At 36.5% G+C, this 17907-nt stretch overlaps 1 protein-coding gene across 9 annotated transcripts in view; it reads left to right on the top strand.

Annotated features, from left to right (window-relative positions):
- The window catches only part of KIF6 (kinesin family member 6), a 395419-nt gene that overhangs the window by 86786 nt on the left and 290726 nt on the right, over positions 1–17907 (top strand). For all 9 annotated transcript variants that reach the window (XR_001743238.2, NM_001289020.3, NM_145027.6 and 6 more), the window contains exon 5: positions 3665–3774. Coding sequence is in view for 8 of the 9 variants with exons in the window: in NM_001289020.3 (NP_001275949.1) it covers positions 3665–3774 (110 nt within the window). In the remaining variant the exon portion in view is untranslated. The remainder of the gene's footprint in view (positions 1–3664; positions 3775–17907) is intronic.

Genomic DNA, 17907 nt, shown 5'->3' with positions numbered 1-17907 from the left:
CATAATTCTAATTGCCATCCATAAAGTAGCAATTATCCATTAGTTCAGCTCATCTTTCTCTAGCTCAAACATGCCAGCTTTGCATGCCAGAAAATTTGGATGAGAAAGGATTGAGTATAGCATATATGTTGGATCCAAAGCCCTTTTTTCATTTACTCACTTATTTCTGACATTGCCTGTTTTGTTCCCACATTTCACAACCTGGGAATATAATTCCTAATAGTTTTCATTGCTGTGGCCTAATGTGGAATCCTTTTGTCTTAGAAAGATCACTGGAGGTACAGGTCAACCTGGTTCTGAGAAAGTGTACTGCTTACAGCATGTGGCCTTGGGGCGGTTACTTAATGCCTCAGTCTTATGGATTGCTGTGAGGGGCTGAACATACTGTATTTAAAGATATTGTCCAGATTCTTGCACACAGTATATGCTCAATACATGATAGTTATGATCACAGCCAGTAATATCCACATATGGATATTAATGTGGCCAAGTGATCCCTGACCAATTTCAGAGAACCCTTGAAACTCTCAAAACAAATGAAGCCAAATCCATGATTAAGTTAAATAGAATAAACTCATCCTCTCCCAAAGGAAAATATTTTTTGTCCCTTTAAAATTTTTATCTATGGTTACTAAAGTATAGATCCAAATGTCTAAATGTCTCCTTAGTACTTACCATTTGTCAGGTTCATTGTTTTAGATCTGTTTGTCATTGACATTACCGTAAACTCCATTTCATTCTGAATGATCCTAAATAACTTCCTGGACTTGCAGCGAGCCCATTGGAGCAATTTAAAGCCAGAGTAACTCTTTGTAAATGAACATATTTTCATGATGGGGCATAACACATTCATTATAATCAAACAGCTGCGGTGAAACTGGTCAAGCAACTTGAAGTGCATCATGAAGTTTGTTCATATTGTATAGCTGGAAAATGCAGCTTAGTACTCAGAGGTCCCCAGCTGATTGCCTTAGAGAGGTACATGGAGCTCTCTAGAATTCTTAAAGGAAACATTTGACCTATGCAAAGTCTTCATTTCAAGATACAGTAAGAGCCCAGTGCCTACTGGGTCCTGAAATGTCTATGAGTATGCCAGGAGTACATTTTCACTGATTTTAAGAGAAGAAAATTGATGCCATTTATTTTAGAAATCACTCTCATTATTTTTGGTATTGTGAGTTTCAAACTTGTTTTGGGGCAGGAGAAAAGGCTGTCTGCAGGAAACATGTGTGTTACATTACAGTCTGGCAATCCTAAACACTAAAAAGGAGTAATAAGGAAAGGTAGCTTGCCACATAGCTCAGTGAATTTTAAGTGTATTTTCCAATGAAAGTCCAGAAAATGCAGAAGCTGAAAGAGCCAAAGACATTATCCCTATCACCTCAGGGCAGTGGACCTGCTGTTTTCCTGACGTTTTATGATTTATTCTAACTTCTGGAAGAAGAGATTTTCTCCACTGCAGATAAACATACAAGTTGGCTGTCCATTTTGCTTTTATTTTCCTTTCCTTTTATATTCATATACTGAATTCTCCATTTGAAGGCTTCTAGAAATAATAATAAAAACAATAACTACAGCAATAATAATAGCAACAGCAGCAACAATGATTAGTTGATATCTGTTATGGGCCACACACTTTTGTAAGATTTTAAATATAGAATCTTATTTCTCTGTTATAACAGAATGCAAGATCAGGGCTATTATCCCCATTTTTATGGTGAAACAGCTGAGGATAAGGGTGTGGGATTATTCTGTTATAAATGGAGTTTCAATATTCAAACTCAGTTGTTATCTGATGCTAAGAAGAACTCAGAAATGTATACTAAACTCTCAAATCATAATCTCTGGGTTATTTCAGATATTTTGGATAAATTTTAAAAATATGTTGGTTTAAACAGGATCTCAGAATGTTGCCAAAATATCCCCTAGGGCCTTTGACATGCTGCAGAGAGGGACAGAGTCTATGTATATGTTGACCATGGAACTCTGTTTTCCAGGAGTATTCCATGGAATATTTTAGAAACATTGGATTAGACTAACAGCCACACCAAGTCTTTTTAGTGTTTATAGTCTCTGACACCTGTGCTAAGCCAAGTTATAACCCAAAGAATTATATTGAAATAGTACCTTTACTAAACTAGGATACTAATGTAATCAATAGGCCATTTGTTGGGATAAGCATTAGAGTCATCCACATCAGAAGAATTTTCAGCATTACGCTGAAAAAAAATTGCTTGGTAATTCGGTCCATGTCACCTTCACAGAACACCGGAATATAGAATTTCAGCTGTAGCTTGAGTGTTTTTATTATAGTCATGGAAGGCTGAGAGTTGCTTTAATTGTTCATTTATCATTTTGTTTTTCTGAAATGACAGTATCTTTATTTGGATAATTGGAGCCATTTTAGAACCAAAGAATCATTCATTTTACACTGAAGAACAGATAGGGATTTATTAGCCAACTTCCTCACTTTAATGAGTTTGAAAATGAAGGCCTGACATGGTAGAGGCTCAACTCTAGTTAGAGTAGGAGTCCAGCTTTTTATTTATGGGCCACTATTCTCTCTCCTATCTCTGTGACTTGGTCCTCTCTCCCTTTGAACAAAACCTATTAAATGGATTGCCTTGGAAATGGGTGAGAATCAATCAGGAAAGTCATCCTAAGCAAATTCTCTGTTAGTATACACTCTGACACCCTGGCAACCTGCTTGCCACAAGACCCAAATATACTCTCCTCTTATGAGAAGCATGATAATATTTGCGGAAATGGAAGCATTTGTATTTTTGGAGGAAGAAAAAGAAGGTGCTATTGTTTGATATTTTGTATTGAAAACTGAACTTTCTCAAGAGTTGAAAAAATTCCTTATTTTATTCCACCTCAGAGGGAATGGGTCATTTTTGTCTATTGGCAGAATTGAGACTAGGACCAGGCACCTTTACTTTTAGCCTCATTACATTGATGCCTATGTCATTGCATTTCAGCAGTGACCCACCACAAACATTTCTCTCATTTCTCTCTATCTAATAGCTAAACATCTCTGATTTGCCCTCTTGGGCCAGGAAAATTAACTCCACAGGTGAGGTATTGGCAGTGAACTATTAATGTCCACTCATACCTGACTAATCAACTATTTTCTGTCCTCTGGATGTCACTTTCATTGTTATCTATTTATGTCATCAGAAAATATTGAATATTAGAAAAGTAGAAAAAGAATGATGATTAAAGATGGAAACTATTTTGCTCCTAAAATTTTTAAACCAAAGTAATGATCTGTGTTCTTTTTTATGAATAGACTATTCACAGAATATGTTTATTTTTTTTAGTAACCTTTTTTGGTCTGGAAAGTAAAAAAAATGGTGTGTTATACAGTTCTGCAACCAAGTTGGCTCATTGTAAGTGTATATTGACTTTTTATGTATAATGTGGAACCAATAAAAAATAACAGACTGAAGTTGCTTGTAATCATGGGTGTTGGCCATTAAAAAAAGCTTCATGCATATGGTAACTGGCAACTTGAAAGTGTCATGAACTGAAAATGTAAACCATATAAAGTGAGAGAAAAAGAGAGAAACTATGAGGAAACTGAGTGCTAAATGTGTTCATCTTCATCTAAGCAGAATCATTGTTATAACCGATAAATAATACCTTTCCCTTTTCCAATCAGGACAGCAGCAAAATATATACAACACACATTTCCTATTTGGAAATCTACAATGAATGTGGTTATGATCTTTTGGATCCAAGACATGAAGCCTCCAGTTTGGAAGATTTGCCGTGAGTAGCAGAACAACAAAGAATGGAGGGAAATTACTTTCAGATGTTCTCTTCAATTGTTTTCTTTGAAACTTTGTATGTTTCTGGTCTCAATCATAATTAGCAAATACTGGATAACCGTATCTTTTTGTAATATAATGGATTTTTTTTTCAGTTATGACAAATGGACAGTAGTGATGGGAACTAAAATTGCCTGAAACTCATTTCTTGGGAAAATCTCTTTTGGAGTTGGCAGAAGAGAGTGCAATGAATTTTCTCTAAGATTGGGTGCTTAGAGGATTGATGGGATATGACAGTACTACTTTCTTCCTGCCACATGAAACCCTGTTGCTCTTCTAATTGTGGCCTCTTTCTGAGAAGAAGGTATTCAAATTAGAGTTCAAGCAGCAATAAGAGAATCTGAGACAGAGAAAATAACATTTTTACGTTTTCCTCAAATGCTTCTCTACTATGGTTAATGCTAACTTTGGCAATCATTTGATCAGATTGGCACTGATTGTTTCATGACTGAAATTTAAATAGCGTCTTCAAAATTTATCTAATAATGGAGCAAGTTACCCTGCCAGCATTTATATAACATTGCTCAATGCTTGTTTGAATATCTGCCTATATTAGACATATATTAATTGGCAACTGTTCATATACTTTTGTTCAGACATCATATATCAAAAGTAGCCTATAGCCAAGAAAATGTATCTTTATATTCTTATTAAATACTCTAATTTAGAAACACATATTCATTCTCTCCCAAAAAGATTACAAATCAGTTGTTTATTTTAATTTGCATTATCTCCACACCAAAAGGACTATCCAATTCTTGAATTGCTCTGAAATTTTATAGTAGTGAATATATTCGAAGAAATAGGCTATTGACTTGGATATGGGACTCTTCTTTCTTAATGACATTTTTATTTTAATGGGATCTGTTGTCATGTAATTACAGTCCAAAATGTGAGAATAAGAACAGTTTTAGACCACTTTTGTGTATGTGTGTGGAAGTTTCTTGAAAACAACTGTTATATAACTGAGGTCACTTCTAACTTGAGTCAGTGAACTCTCCAACAAGAGGACAAAGCTACTAAAGGAGGGGAAGTCGTTGAAGATGAAAGCTAGCAACATCTCTGGAGACAATCTGACCAGCATTGAGAATGACTGCTGAATGCTAGCCATGCTGAGAAATGTGGAGGACACAGGGTGGACTAAGGCATTGCGCTTGCTCTCAAGCTTGCTCTTTTCTAAAAGAAGCCCATTTGAAAATACTGAAATCACTTTTTCTTCTTTTGTGAAGGATAGAAAACTCAACAAATAAGTCCTCTCCTGTGAAGGTCACCAGTCTTTTTAACTCTTGACATTGGAGGTTGAAAGATTGTTAAATATTACTTAATCCAATGCCCACATTTTATAAACAGAGAAATCCAGAAAAATGAAATAACTTACCTAAGACTGTAGGACTGGGACTGGAACCCAAATTCCCTGACTTCTCATCAAGTACTTTTTTTTCTATATATTATGTTACCTCTCTTAAGGGTTCAATGGACTTTTCTCATTCCTAGCTCTTCCCATTGTTAGGCTGCACCAAACCATGTCGATTAGATTCAGATGAAAAGAGCTCATGCTCTGTTCTTCTCCCTCTACACTCTCATTTCAAAACGTCTGCTTCACAGTTTCAATTCCACAAATAATTTTTAAAAGTTATTAAGGACTTATTCTGGCTTAGGCAGTAGAGACACTACTAAACCAAGTAAGGCATATTTCCTACCTCTGAGGAATTTATTGTAAATATAAACATCTAGTATGATATCCTTAGACAGCAAACTTATCTATGTAAAATTTATTATCATCACTCAATCAAACTTTCTAATGGAAATCTCCTTTTTAAGTCAATGACTCCTTAATTCTCTAGGTCCCACTATAAAAATTTTGAAGCTTGGCCAGGCGCGGTGGCTCATGCCTGTAATCCCAGCACTTTGGGAGGCCAAGGCAGGCAGATCACAAGGTCAGGAGATCGAGACCATCCTGGCTAACATGGTGAAACCCCACCTCTATTAAAAATACAAAAAATTAGCCGGGTGTGGTGGCTTCTGTAGTCCTAGCTACTCGGGAGGCTGAGGCAGGAGAATCGCTTGAACCCGGGAGGCAGAGGTGTGGAGATAATGAGGTTTGACTGGTATTGAATCTGCTAGTTTTCTGAGGGCCTTAGACAAGTTTGCCTTTTACTAAGATGATAAAATAATTATTTATAATGAATTTTTTTTTTTTTGCTGTACTTGGATTTGATTAAGCATATGTGCTATTAATTACAAACTCTTGAACTGGGGCATACTATAACTCTGAAATTCTAGCTCTCTGGTTGACTGATTTCATTGTTGTGAGCTGAAATGTCTCAAACACTTTGAATGCCTTCTAAACATAGTAGGCAAAATGTCTGTTGACCTTGATCCCCACTCATAGTCATCCATTTGAGGGACAATGGCAATATACCCATTTTATCTCTTTTGCATTCTTATACAAGGCTTAACTATATAAAATCAACTCAGGGTCATGTTGGTGCTGCACAATAATAGCCATCAGTAACAGCTTCCTTACCGTTGAGTGACACAGCATCCCCAAATATCACCTGCGAGACGCTCTTCTCACATACACTCTGCCTTTTCTATTTTTTTTTTCTTTTACATTATAAGATGTACCACTTGCCTGCTCTTGCAGAACTTTTGCCTATAAAACTGTCTGTGGATTTTGTATATATTATGTCAGGGCACTAAACTAAAGTCATTTGCTTTTTTCAAATGTTGCTATAGTCATTTGTTTAGTAAATGTGAGAAATACTGACATCTAAATTAACAATCAAAGGTGATTAAACCAAACTTAACCAAGATGAAATACATAATTGAATACTTCAATAACTATTATAGAAGTTGAATTCATAATTTTATAAGTTTCACAAAGTGAAATCTTTAGGCCTAGATGGTTTCACTGGAAAATTCTACCAAATATTTAAAGAAGAATTAACACCAATTTTACATAATCTCTTTCAGGAAATAGGAGAGAGAACAATTCCCAGGTTATTCTCTGAGTCTAGTATTGCCCGAATACCAAAACTGGGCAAAGATTGTACAAAAAAAACAAAAAAACAAAAAAAAAAACTACAGACTGATATCTCTCATGAACATAGGCTCAAAAATCCTCAACAAAATATTGACAATTGAATCCACAAATGTATAAAATCAATACTATATCATGACCAAGTGAGATTAATTCTAGATTGCACAGCTAGTTCAACATTTGAAAAGCAATCAATGTAATCCGCAGGCTAAAGAAGAAAAATTATACGAAGCTCAGAAATAGTATTTAACACCCATTATTGATAGAAATCTAAACAAGTTAGAAATAAGGAGAATCACCTCAGTTTGTTAAAGAGCATCTACAAAATCCTACAGCTAACAAATGTGTAAAGGTGAAAGACTGAATGTTTTCCTCCTAAGATCAGAAACAATGCAACAATGTCCATTCTCACCATTTTTCTTCAATATAGTATGGAAATACTAGTCACTTCAGTAAAAGAAAAACAAGAAAAGACATACATATTGTCTACTAAAATATCCCAAAGAATTTGCAATCTCTTCTGAAAAAAAAAAAGCAGAGGAAACATGTTTTAACTCATCCAGTGATCCCAGCATTATCCAAATACCAAAAGCAGACAAATGCATTACAAGAAAGGAAAACTACGGACTAATATCTCTTGTGACTACACATGCAAAAATCCTCAATAAAATATTAGCAGATTATATTCAAAAATGTATAAAAAGAATTATATACTACAGCCAAGTGAGATTTATTTAAGGTATGCAAGACTAGTTCAACATTCAAAAATCAATTAATGTAGTCCATGGCATGAACAGTCTAAAGAATAAAAATCATATTATCATAACAATAGATGCAGAAAAAAATTTGACAAAATCCAACAGCTTCTCATGATAAATACTCTCAGGAAACTAGAAATGTAGGAAATGTTCTCAACCTGATAAAGAATATCTATAAAATGCCTGTAGGTAACATTATATATAATGATGAGAAGCTAGATGCTTTCTCCCAAGATCAGGAACAAGGAAAGTATGTCCCTCTCACCACTCTAATTCAACATTGTACTGGAAGTCCTAGCCAATTGCAATAATACCGGAAAAAGAAATTAAAGTTATTGGGAAGAAAGAAATACAACTGTCTTTGTTGACAGATGATTCAATTATCTATGTAGAACATCTCAAATAATTGACAAATTCCTGGAATTCATAAGTGATTATGGCAAGGTTGCAGAATACAAGGTTAATGTACAAAAGTCAATTGTTTTCCTATATACCAACAATAAATAATTGGAATTTAAAATGTAAAACACAATACTGCCTACATTAGCATCAAAAAATGAAATACTTGTGTATAAATCTGACAAGATATGTACAAGATCTATATGAGGAAAACTGCAAAGCTGATCAAATAAATCAAAGAATGTCTAAATAAAAAGATATTCCATGTTCATGGATAAGAAGACTCAATATTGTTAAGATGTCAGTTCTTTCTCACTTGATTTGTAGATAAAGTATAGATCAATTTAATCTAAAGCAAATTCCTAGTAAATTATTTTGTAGATATCAATAAAATGACTATAAATTTTACAGGAAAGGCAAAATAGCCATAATAGCCAACACAATACAGAAGAAGAACAAAGTCAAAAGACTGACATCACCCAACTTCAAGACATACTATAAAGATGGTAATTAAGGCAGTATGGTAATGGCAAGAGAACTGACACATATATCAATGGAACAGAATAGGGAGCCCAGAAATAGACCCTTAAAAATATAGTCAACTGATTTTTGACAAAGAAGCGAAGGCAATTCAGTGGAAAGGGGGTAGTCTTTTTTATAAATAGTACTGGAGCAACTGGATATGCACACATGAAAAAAGTGAATCTGGACAGGGACCTTACACCTTTCACAAAATTAACTTGAAATGAGTCATAGACCAGAATGTACCATGCAAAACTATAAGTCTTCTAGAAGATAACACAGGAGAAAATCCAGATGGCCTTGGGTTTGCCAATGAGTTTTTAGATGCAACACCAAAAGCATGACCAGTGAAATAAAAATTTATAAGTTGAACTTTATTAAAATTAAAACTTCTGTTCTGTGAAAGACACTGTTAAGAAAATGAAAAGGCAAGTCACAGGCTGGAAGAAATTAATTATCAAATACATATCTGATAAAGATATAAATATACAAAGAATTTTTATATCTGAAATATGCAAAGAATTTTAAAAACTCAACAATAAGAAAATAAATGCCCAAATTTTTAAAATGGGCAAAAGATCTGAATAGCCACTTCGCTGAAGAAGATACACATATGGCAAATAGCGTATGAAAAGAATCTCAACATCACCTGTCATTAGGGAATTGCAAATTAAAACAGTGATATACCACTACATACAAATTAGACTGGCTAAAATCTAAAATACTAACACCAAATGCTGGCAAGGATGTGGAGCAACAGGAACTCTTATTCATTGCTGATGGGAATGCAGAATGATCCCACCACTTTGGAAGACAAATTGGCAGTTTCTTAGAAAATTAAACATACTTTTACCATATGATCCAGCAACTGCGCTCCTAGGTTTTTACCGAAATGAGTTGAAAACTTATGTCTACACAAAAACCTTCCCACAAATACATATAGCAGTCTTATTCATAATTGCTAAAAATTGGTAGGAACCAAGATGTTCATCAATAGGTTAACAGATAAACTGTAGTACATCCATACAAGGGAATATTATTTGGCAATGAAAAAAATTAGCTATTAAGCCACAAAAAGACATGGAGAAAATGTAAATGCATATTGCTAAGTGCAAAAGTTAGCATGAAAGTCTACATACTGTATGATTCAAACTATATGGCATTCTGGAAAAGGCAAAACTATAGAGACAGTGAAATGATCAGTGATTGTCAGAGATTGAGGGGGACGGGTAGAAGAATAAATAGGTGAAGCACAGGGGGTTTCTGGGTGGTGAAACTGTTCTATATGATACTGTAATGGTGGGCACATGATATCATACATTTGTCAAAACCCACAGAATTTACAATACAAAGAATGAACCCTGATGTAAACTATAGGCTTTAGTTAATAAGGTGACAACAAAAAGTAATGAACTATTGAGATAATTAACAACTTGGATGAATCTCCAGGGAAATATGTTGAGTAAAAAAAGCCAATCCCGAAAGGTTTACATGCTGTATGATTCCAATTGGTGAACAGATTAGTGGATACAGAGTTAGGGAAGGCAGGGGAATGGTTGGACAAGGTCAACACAAAGGATCCTTGTGATGATGCAGTGTTCTGTGTCTTCACTGTGGCTCTGGATACACAAAGCTACCCATATGATAAAATTGCATAAAACTAAATGCACACACAGACACACACAAGGGAACATAAGCAAAATTGGGGAAATTGCATATAATTAAATATTAAATGTACACACAAGCACATGCAAGTGAATACAAGCAAAACTGGGATAATTGCATAGAACTAAAATGTATACACACACACACACACACACACGTAAATGAGTACAAGCAAAACTGGAAAAATCTGAATAAGATTGGTGGATTGGATTGCCAATGTCCTGGTTGTGATATTTTAATACTATAGTTTTGCAAGATGTTACAATTGGGAAAAACTGGGCAATGGGTATATGAGATTTCCCTGAATTATTTCTTATAGCTGTATGTGAATCTACAATAATCTCAAAAGGTTTAATTTAAAAAGTAATTGGCTATATATTTGTATATAGACATACATATGCATATACACACATATGTGTATTAAACCTATTCTGTATTTAGAAATTTTTTAGTATTTCAAATGAAAATAGAAATTCTATTTTTGAAAGCTTCTTATGTCACATGCTATAAAAGGACTATAGTTAGAATCTAAGTTTGTCTCATGAAGTAAAACAGGATAACTGTTGGTCTCAGCTGTAGAGAAAATAGTCACCTTACTTTAGTATAATTTTAGTATTCCTAAATAGGGAAGCATATTCCATTTAAGATTCTAACGATTGTCATGGTTATTACTATAAAAAGGAACCAGTAAATGCCAGCATTCAGTATTGAAATCTTGGCTGTGTTGTATTTTTTGAATAATTTGTCATCAAAGGGGAAAAAGTCACCAAATGTTAAATTTAAGTCACCACATTTCTAACACCTACTGGATAGAAAACACTGCTAAGTGATGCAGGAGTTACAAAAAAATTAATGCACAGTCTCTGCTCTCATGACTTACAGTCCAGTCATGTGAATTCATTCATATACTCAGCAAACATTTGTTGAGACCCAACTTTGTTCCAGCCATTGTGCTAGGCACCATGTTTGCTAACGTAGTCCCTGTTTCCCTGGAACTCGTAGCAGAGAGGATAAAGCTAGTATAAAATAACATAAGGTGGAATGTGAAAAACATTGTAAGAGAGCCAAAAAAAATGACAAGAGCTCACAGGAGAAAGAAATCACATCAATGCAAGAGATCAGGCAAAGATTCATAGGGAAGATAGCAGATGAAATCATCCTTGAGGGAAGGGGTAGGACTTGGGGCAGCGGAGTGTGGCTTTTGTGTGGAAACAAAGAGAAGTTGAAGCATAGGGCTTGTTCTGTGACAGTTAGTAGACCTGTTTGACTGGAACCCAGTAAGGGAGTAGGCAGGAGCATTAAGACTGGCAAGGTACAAATGTGAGGATTTGGCAGGCAAGGTGTAGCCCTTGGAGATTTTGATTCCAGGACATAGCATAATTGGAATTGCCTTTTAGGAAGAAAAATCAGTTAGTAGTGTGTAGGACTGGAATGAGGTGGACAAGAGTCAGAGCATTGTGGGAAGTTACTAGGACTACTTAGGTGGCAGTGGGAGTAAAAAAACAAAGGAACTAAATTGGAAGGCTTCATAATCCAGTGGCTTGAAATTTAACTAAGTGTAAGAATCACCTGGGATGATTGTTAAAAATGCTAATTCCTGGCTTCCACCCCCAGAAAATTCACATGTTTGAATAAACATCCCAGGTGATTCTAATGCCGGAGGTTTGCCTGAATCCCTTCCCTCATCCACGTAGGGAAAGTTGTTTTTTGAAATACCAGGAAAATCTCTCCAAAGAGGATAGTGAACCAGTATTTATTGAGCACTTATTTTATGCCAGTTTTTATGCTAAGGACTGTGCATACATTATCTCATTTAAGGAAGTAGGTATTATAATCCATGTTTTATGGTTGACAAAACTGAGGTTCACAGAGATTGTGTGCTGTTACCCCAGGATTTCATGTCTGCTAAGAGCTAGAACCAGGATATTAACCGTGTTCCATTAAACATCAGAGCTGGGGGTGCTGGTGTTCTTTCCTAAGAGATCTGTGTCATATCCCAGTATTCCACCTGAAGCAGACTGTGGTTTCTAGGTTTCTTTAGGCCTCTGGAGCCACTTGTGTCAGTCTGGGTGAGCCAAAGCTTGTCCATTTCAGCCCCATCTGGTGCATGTCAGACTCTCTGCAAAGGTCTGAAAGTAAATGTTCTTGGCCTCAAAGGGCTGTGGTTCTAATAGAACAGACTCATAAACTGATCATTTCAGTTGTGCATAGTAAGTGACAAGATGCCCTGGATTCTGTGGGGGCAGAAGAGGGGAAACTGATTTCAATCTGGGGATTCAGAGAAGACTGGAGTAGGCTCCACCACATTATGGTCTCCAACCTCAGCTGGGCCCTCAGCCTGCTGAGCAACACATTCATGTGCCCGCTGCTTTTTGTTCCCATCCTCACAATGATTATACCAGACGTTCATCTCTTTGGTAAACTACTCCCTGCCCTAAATCTCTTTGGAACCAGTTGTATCCCTATCTCAGAAAGAATATGGAAACTGTCAAACATGAATTTCCTCAGCTTCCTGCCTCTCACCCTTTTTCTCACTTACCTACTTTCCTCTAGTCTCAGGAACTCTGTCCTTTTGGAAGCCAGTTCTCCCCCATACACTTTGGACCCTCCTTGTGTCAGCCCTAAACCTGTTTTGTTTGGCCTACACATTTTGTGTTTAAGAATTTTTTACTTAGTGCTTTTAGATGAGGCATGCATCCTTCAGTCCTTACTACTACCTTTTGCATTACATGTTTCATTTGTGTTATTTTTTTCTGTCTCCTATGGGGATTTGAGGGGACTCCTAGGCCTATAAGCATAGATCTCAAAGTTAAAGCTAACTCCAGTCTTTTCTTAAACTGAGTTAATTACTGACACAGCTGGAATGGCAGCCTCTTGAGGAGTTGGGGGTGCTTTCCTGTAGGATGAAATGAGTAACCAGTGACCAGTGATGTTAAGTCCTACTCTATGTCTTGGCCAGGGACTGTGTACATTGAGAACTGAAACACTGTCAGTAATCATGATGAAGGAATAGAAAGCCCCCATAGCCCGAAAATGACATAATTCCACACGAAGCCTAGCCCAACCTACTAGAGTAATAACAAGGGAGAAAGCTGGCTTCCTCTACTCTCAGTAGCCAATTGAAGGAGATTGTTCTCAGTATCAGAAATGTCTTAGACAATTAGGAGGTTGTCTTAGTCAGCTTGGGTTGCCATAACAAAATACCATAGAATGGGTAGCTTAAACAACAGACACTTACTTCTCACAGTTCTGGAGGCTGGGAAGTCCAAGATCAAGGTACTGGCAGATTTGGTGTCTGGTGAGGGCTCTCTTCCTGGCTTGCAGACTGTTGCCTTCTTGCCTGGTGAGGAGAGAAAGAGAGAGAGAGCTCTTCTTATAAGGATACTAATACCATCATGGGATTGGGACCCCACCCTCATGTCCTCATTTAAACCGAATTACCTCCCAAAAGCTCCATCTCTAAATATCATCACATTGGAAGTTAGGGCTTCAACATATGAATTTGGAGGGGACACAAACATTTAATCCATATAATAGAAATGTTAGCTTTCACCAACCATTGCCTAATAAGTGATGCGTGGAAGGATGGGAAGAAAGAGTTTCAGTGTTTTCACTCGTATATCTGGAATATAGAAATATATCTGTGATATTTAGAGCTTTTAGTGACATGAATTAATGACAGGAAAAACACTGTCACCTCAATCTATTCCATTTTCCTTGTGCTTTGTGTATGAACAAATGCATACACTTTCTTCAGCCATTAAGAGGTGAAATACACATTCTAAACTGTGTATTAGTATGGATTTGTCTTGCTTTGACATATTGTCCTGTTAGTCTCCACGATTGCATTATGAATTGATTTATTCTGATAGTACATCATTTTCAGAATCCATTCTCAATTTTCAGTATATGAAGCAAAACCTTAGGATTATTTCAAACAGCTTTGAATGATTCTAAGCTTGCTTGATCACTTTATTCTGTTCTTTAGAAAAATGTACAGGGTTTAGAAACACGTCTATTATAGCTCAACTGATAGAGAAAAAAATTATTACAACCTTTTGAGAGTGTTAATACCATGTATACCAACAATTTACCATATTGCAAGAATCTCAATTAGCTCTTTTGAGTGCATTATAAAGAATTTAATCTGTATTCGTCTCTTCAATTAACTTACCATTTAGTTGGAAAATGGGGTATACACATGAAACACCTGAAGAGGCTTCTGCACCACACTCGACTATCCCACTAATAATGTATGTACATGTGAAAAGAGCATACACATGATTTAGAGCTGCAGTCATCTCATAAAAGGAGCCCACTTCAGCCAGTTGTTTCCTGTCACTACCTACTCAGGCCCCTTTTAACACCCCCGTCTCTGCTCCCATAACCCTCAATGGTTTCCTAATTTTACTGACGTATGGCAAGTTCTGACTGAGCCAAGAGCTGACAGTGCTGCTGAGGTGGGAGCAGAGCTGAGCTGGCCTGAGAGAGGGGACACATGGGAAGAGCCTTTAGAATGAAGTCTAGGTGAGGGAAGTGAAGAGATTACGTCAGATGGCTGGAGGAGTTATCTGGGCCAGGTGATGAAGGTCACAAGCAGTATATTAATCTCCCTGCTCTGGAACTTCCGTAGCAGTTAGCCTATGTGTGATTCCACAGTTAATTGTAATTGGCTTTGTGTTTTTACATTGAATTCTAAGGTAGTTGAAGATGTTCTACAAAACGAAAGTTAGTTATTATGAAACAGAGATAAGACTGATGGTATTCAGACCAACTGGCCAGCTATTATCTATTAGTATTTACCTAACTCGATCTAAGAAGCAAGCCCTAGGAATAATCCATTTAGAAAAATAATGGCTAAATAGATCTCTTTTACAATAGCAAAAGAAGGTAAAATGCTCAGGAAATGTTCGAGAACTTTATGAACAAGATAGTACATTTTTCTGTGAAAGTAAAAGAAGACTTGAAAATAGATAGTTATTAATCTGTTTCTGAGTGTGCAATAGGAATACCTTAAAGGGGTGTTCTCATATTAATGAGTAGGTTCAATGAAATTCCAAACAAAATCACAGAGGCTTTAAAAAACATATATATGATTCCAAAGTTTATCTGAAAGGATAGACAACCAAGAAGAACAAAAGTTTCAAAAAGTAGAGAAGTGAGAGAAAATTAATGACACTATCTATTCAAATTAAGTAAAAGTTCTAATAATGAAATCATGTTATACTACTTCTAAATTAAACAGATGAAGAAAAGCAAACAGATTAAACCAGAATCATATTCTATACAATGTAATCATTTAATGTAGGTAGAGGGAAGAATTCTTCAGTCAACAGTATTGGACATTTGTGTTAGTAAATTAACAACTGCAGGTAATAGCAGCCTAACTTCCAATGGCTTAACCAAATAGTCTGTTCCTTGCCACACCCCAAGCCTCACCTCTCCCACACCACCGCACCTTAAAGATTCTAAAAATAGGCAGGGAGGGCTGCTGTGGAAGCTCCAGGATGCCTTCAGGGCTTCCTTCCATCATTCTGCACAGCCATTCTTAGTGGGCAGCTTTAGTCATCATGCAAAATGGCTGCCTCACCTCCAGCATCTCGTGCACATTTCTGGAAGGAAACAGGCACCTGCTGCCTGAGGCTGCTCATGTCCAGGAAGCTCCATCCAATGACTTTCACTTATTTGTCACTGACCAGAATTTTGTGATATGGGCAGCCTTAGTTGCAAGAGAATCTGGGAAAGTCTAGTGTCTTTAAATAATTCCCTGAACAAAATCAAAGCCTAATAGTTAGGGAGAAGGGGAGGACAGATCCCATACAGGCAAACTGCATCATGAGCCACACAATCATTGATGGAGAGGAAAAATCCATTTAGAGCCCTTATTTCATTCCATCTACTCATATCCCAAAAGAGTACAAGAAAAGTCAATTTTTATATACTCTGTTGATTTGGAAGGACTTTAAGCTTAAAAAGTACAGAAATAAAAGAAAAGATTGATACATTATAAGAATTTAAACTTTTATGTGTTAAAACAAACAAAATTTCTAATACATCAAAGTTAAAAAGCAAGCACATATAAAATTTGCCTAATAAATATAAGAAACAAAATATTTTATATATAAAGAGCTCATACATTTAAGTACCCCAAATAAGTAGACAAAAGACAAAACAATATAACGGTTAAAAAACAGTTGGAAATAGGTTCAATTTCTTTGTTTCTTTTTTTTTTTTTGAGCTGGATTTTCGCTTTTGTTGCCCAGGCTGGAGTGCAGTGGTGTGATCTTGGCTCACTGCAACCTCCGCCTTCTGGGTTCAAGCCATTCTCCTGCCTCAGCCTCCTGAGTAGCTGGGATTACAGGTGCCCGCCGCCCCACCCGTCTAATTTTTGGAATTTTTAATAGAGATGGGGTTTCACCATGTTGGCCAGGCTGGTCTTGAACTCCTGACCTCAGGTGATCCACCCACCTCGGCTTCCCAAAGAGCTTGGATTACAGGCATGAGCCACCACGCCTGGCTGAAATAGGTTCAATTTCATTAACCATTCAAAGAATGTAAATTAAACAGAACATTTTAACCTAAAATATTAGCAAAAATTTAAAAACTAATGTTCAGTGTTATTAAAATAATAGTGAAACAGTCCCTCTCATACAGTAGGAATGTAAATCAGTATAACATTTTTGGAAAGCATTTTACTGCCTACCTTCAAGGAAGTTGCTATTTATTGGATTTTAATGTGCAACATACACTACTAAGCACATTTGTTCATTCATCCAATGTATTATTGTGCATCAAACATAAACAGGTGTCCTTTTAGGCCTGGGGCACAGCGATGAACAAGGAACTTAAATACATGATTTTTTTCTCAACAGTCCATTGTAGAGGTGATATTGTCCTCAGTTTATAGAGGAGACAGAGATGCAACGAGAGTTCCTAAGATGCCAAAGACTTACTGCTAGCACATGGCGGGAGGCCAGGATCTCAGCCCAGGTTTGTCCATTCCACAGAGGGTGCTATAGGCTTCCCAGGTATGATGAGAGCCTTAAAGCTGTTCATAACTTTTGATCTTGTAACGTCACCCCCAGAAATCATCCCTAAGGAGAAAATATGAATTATTTCAAAAGCTTCAGGAACAGATATATATTGATACAGTTAAAGATATATGTGTACGTGTGTGTGTGTGTGTGTGTGTGTGTGTGTGTGTGTCTATCTTACGGTGTTATTTAAAACAGCTTTAAATTGGAAACAACAAATTCTCATAAAGGAATGGTTAAAATATTTCATTAATACATCCTAACCCTAAAATATTGTGTAACTATTAAAAAAATGTTGTAGGCTGGGTGCGGTGGCTCACACCTGTAATCCCAGCACTTTGAGCGGCCAGGGTGGGCAAATCACCTAAGGTCAGGAGTTCAAGACCAGCCTGGCTAACATGGCAAAACCCTGTCTCTACTAAAAATATAAAAATTAGCTGGGTGCAATGGTGAGCACCTGTAATCTCAGCTACTTGGGAGACTGAGGCAGGAGAATCGCTTGAACCCAGGAGGTGGAGGTTGCAGTGAGCCAAGATCGTGCCACTGCACTTCAGCCTGGGCAACAGTGGAAGACTCTGCCTCAAAATAAATAAATAAATAAATAAATAAATAAATAAAATGTTGTTAAGGGGTGATCAAAAGAGAGTAACATG

Source organism: Homo sapiens, chromosome 6 (assembly GCF_000001405.40).
Source record: "Homo sapiens chromosome 6, GRCh38.p14 Primary Assembly".
Classification (NCBI taxonomy): Eukaryota; Metazoa; Chordata; class Mammalia; order Primates; family Hominidae; genus Homo; species Homo sapiens.
The sequence above is the reverse complement of the archived record's forward strand: the minus strand, read 5'-3'. Positions and strand labels throughout refer to the sequence as shown.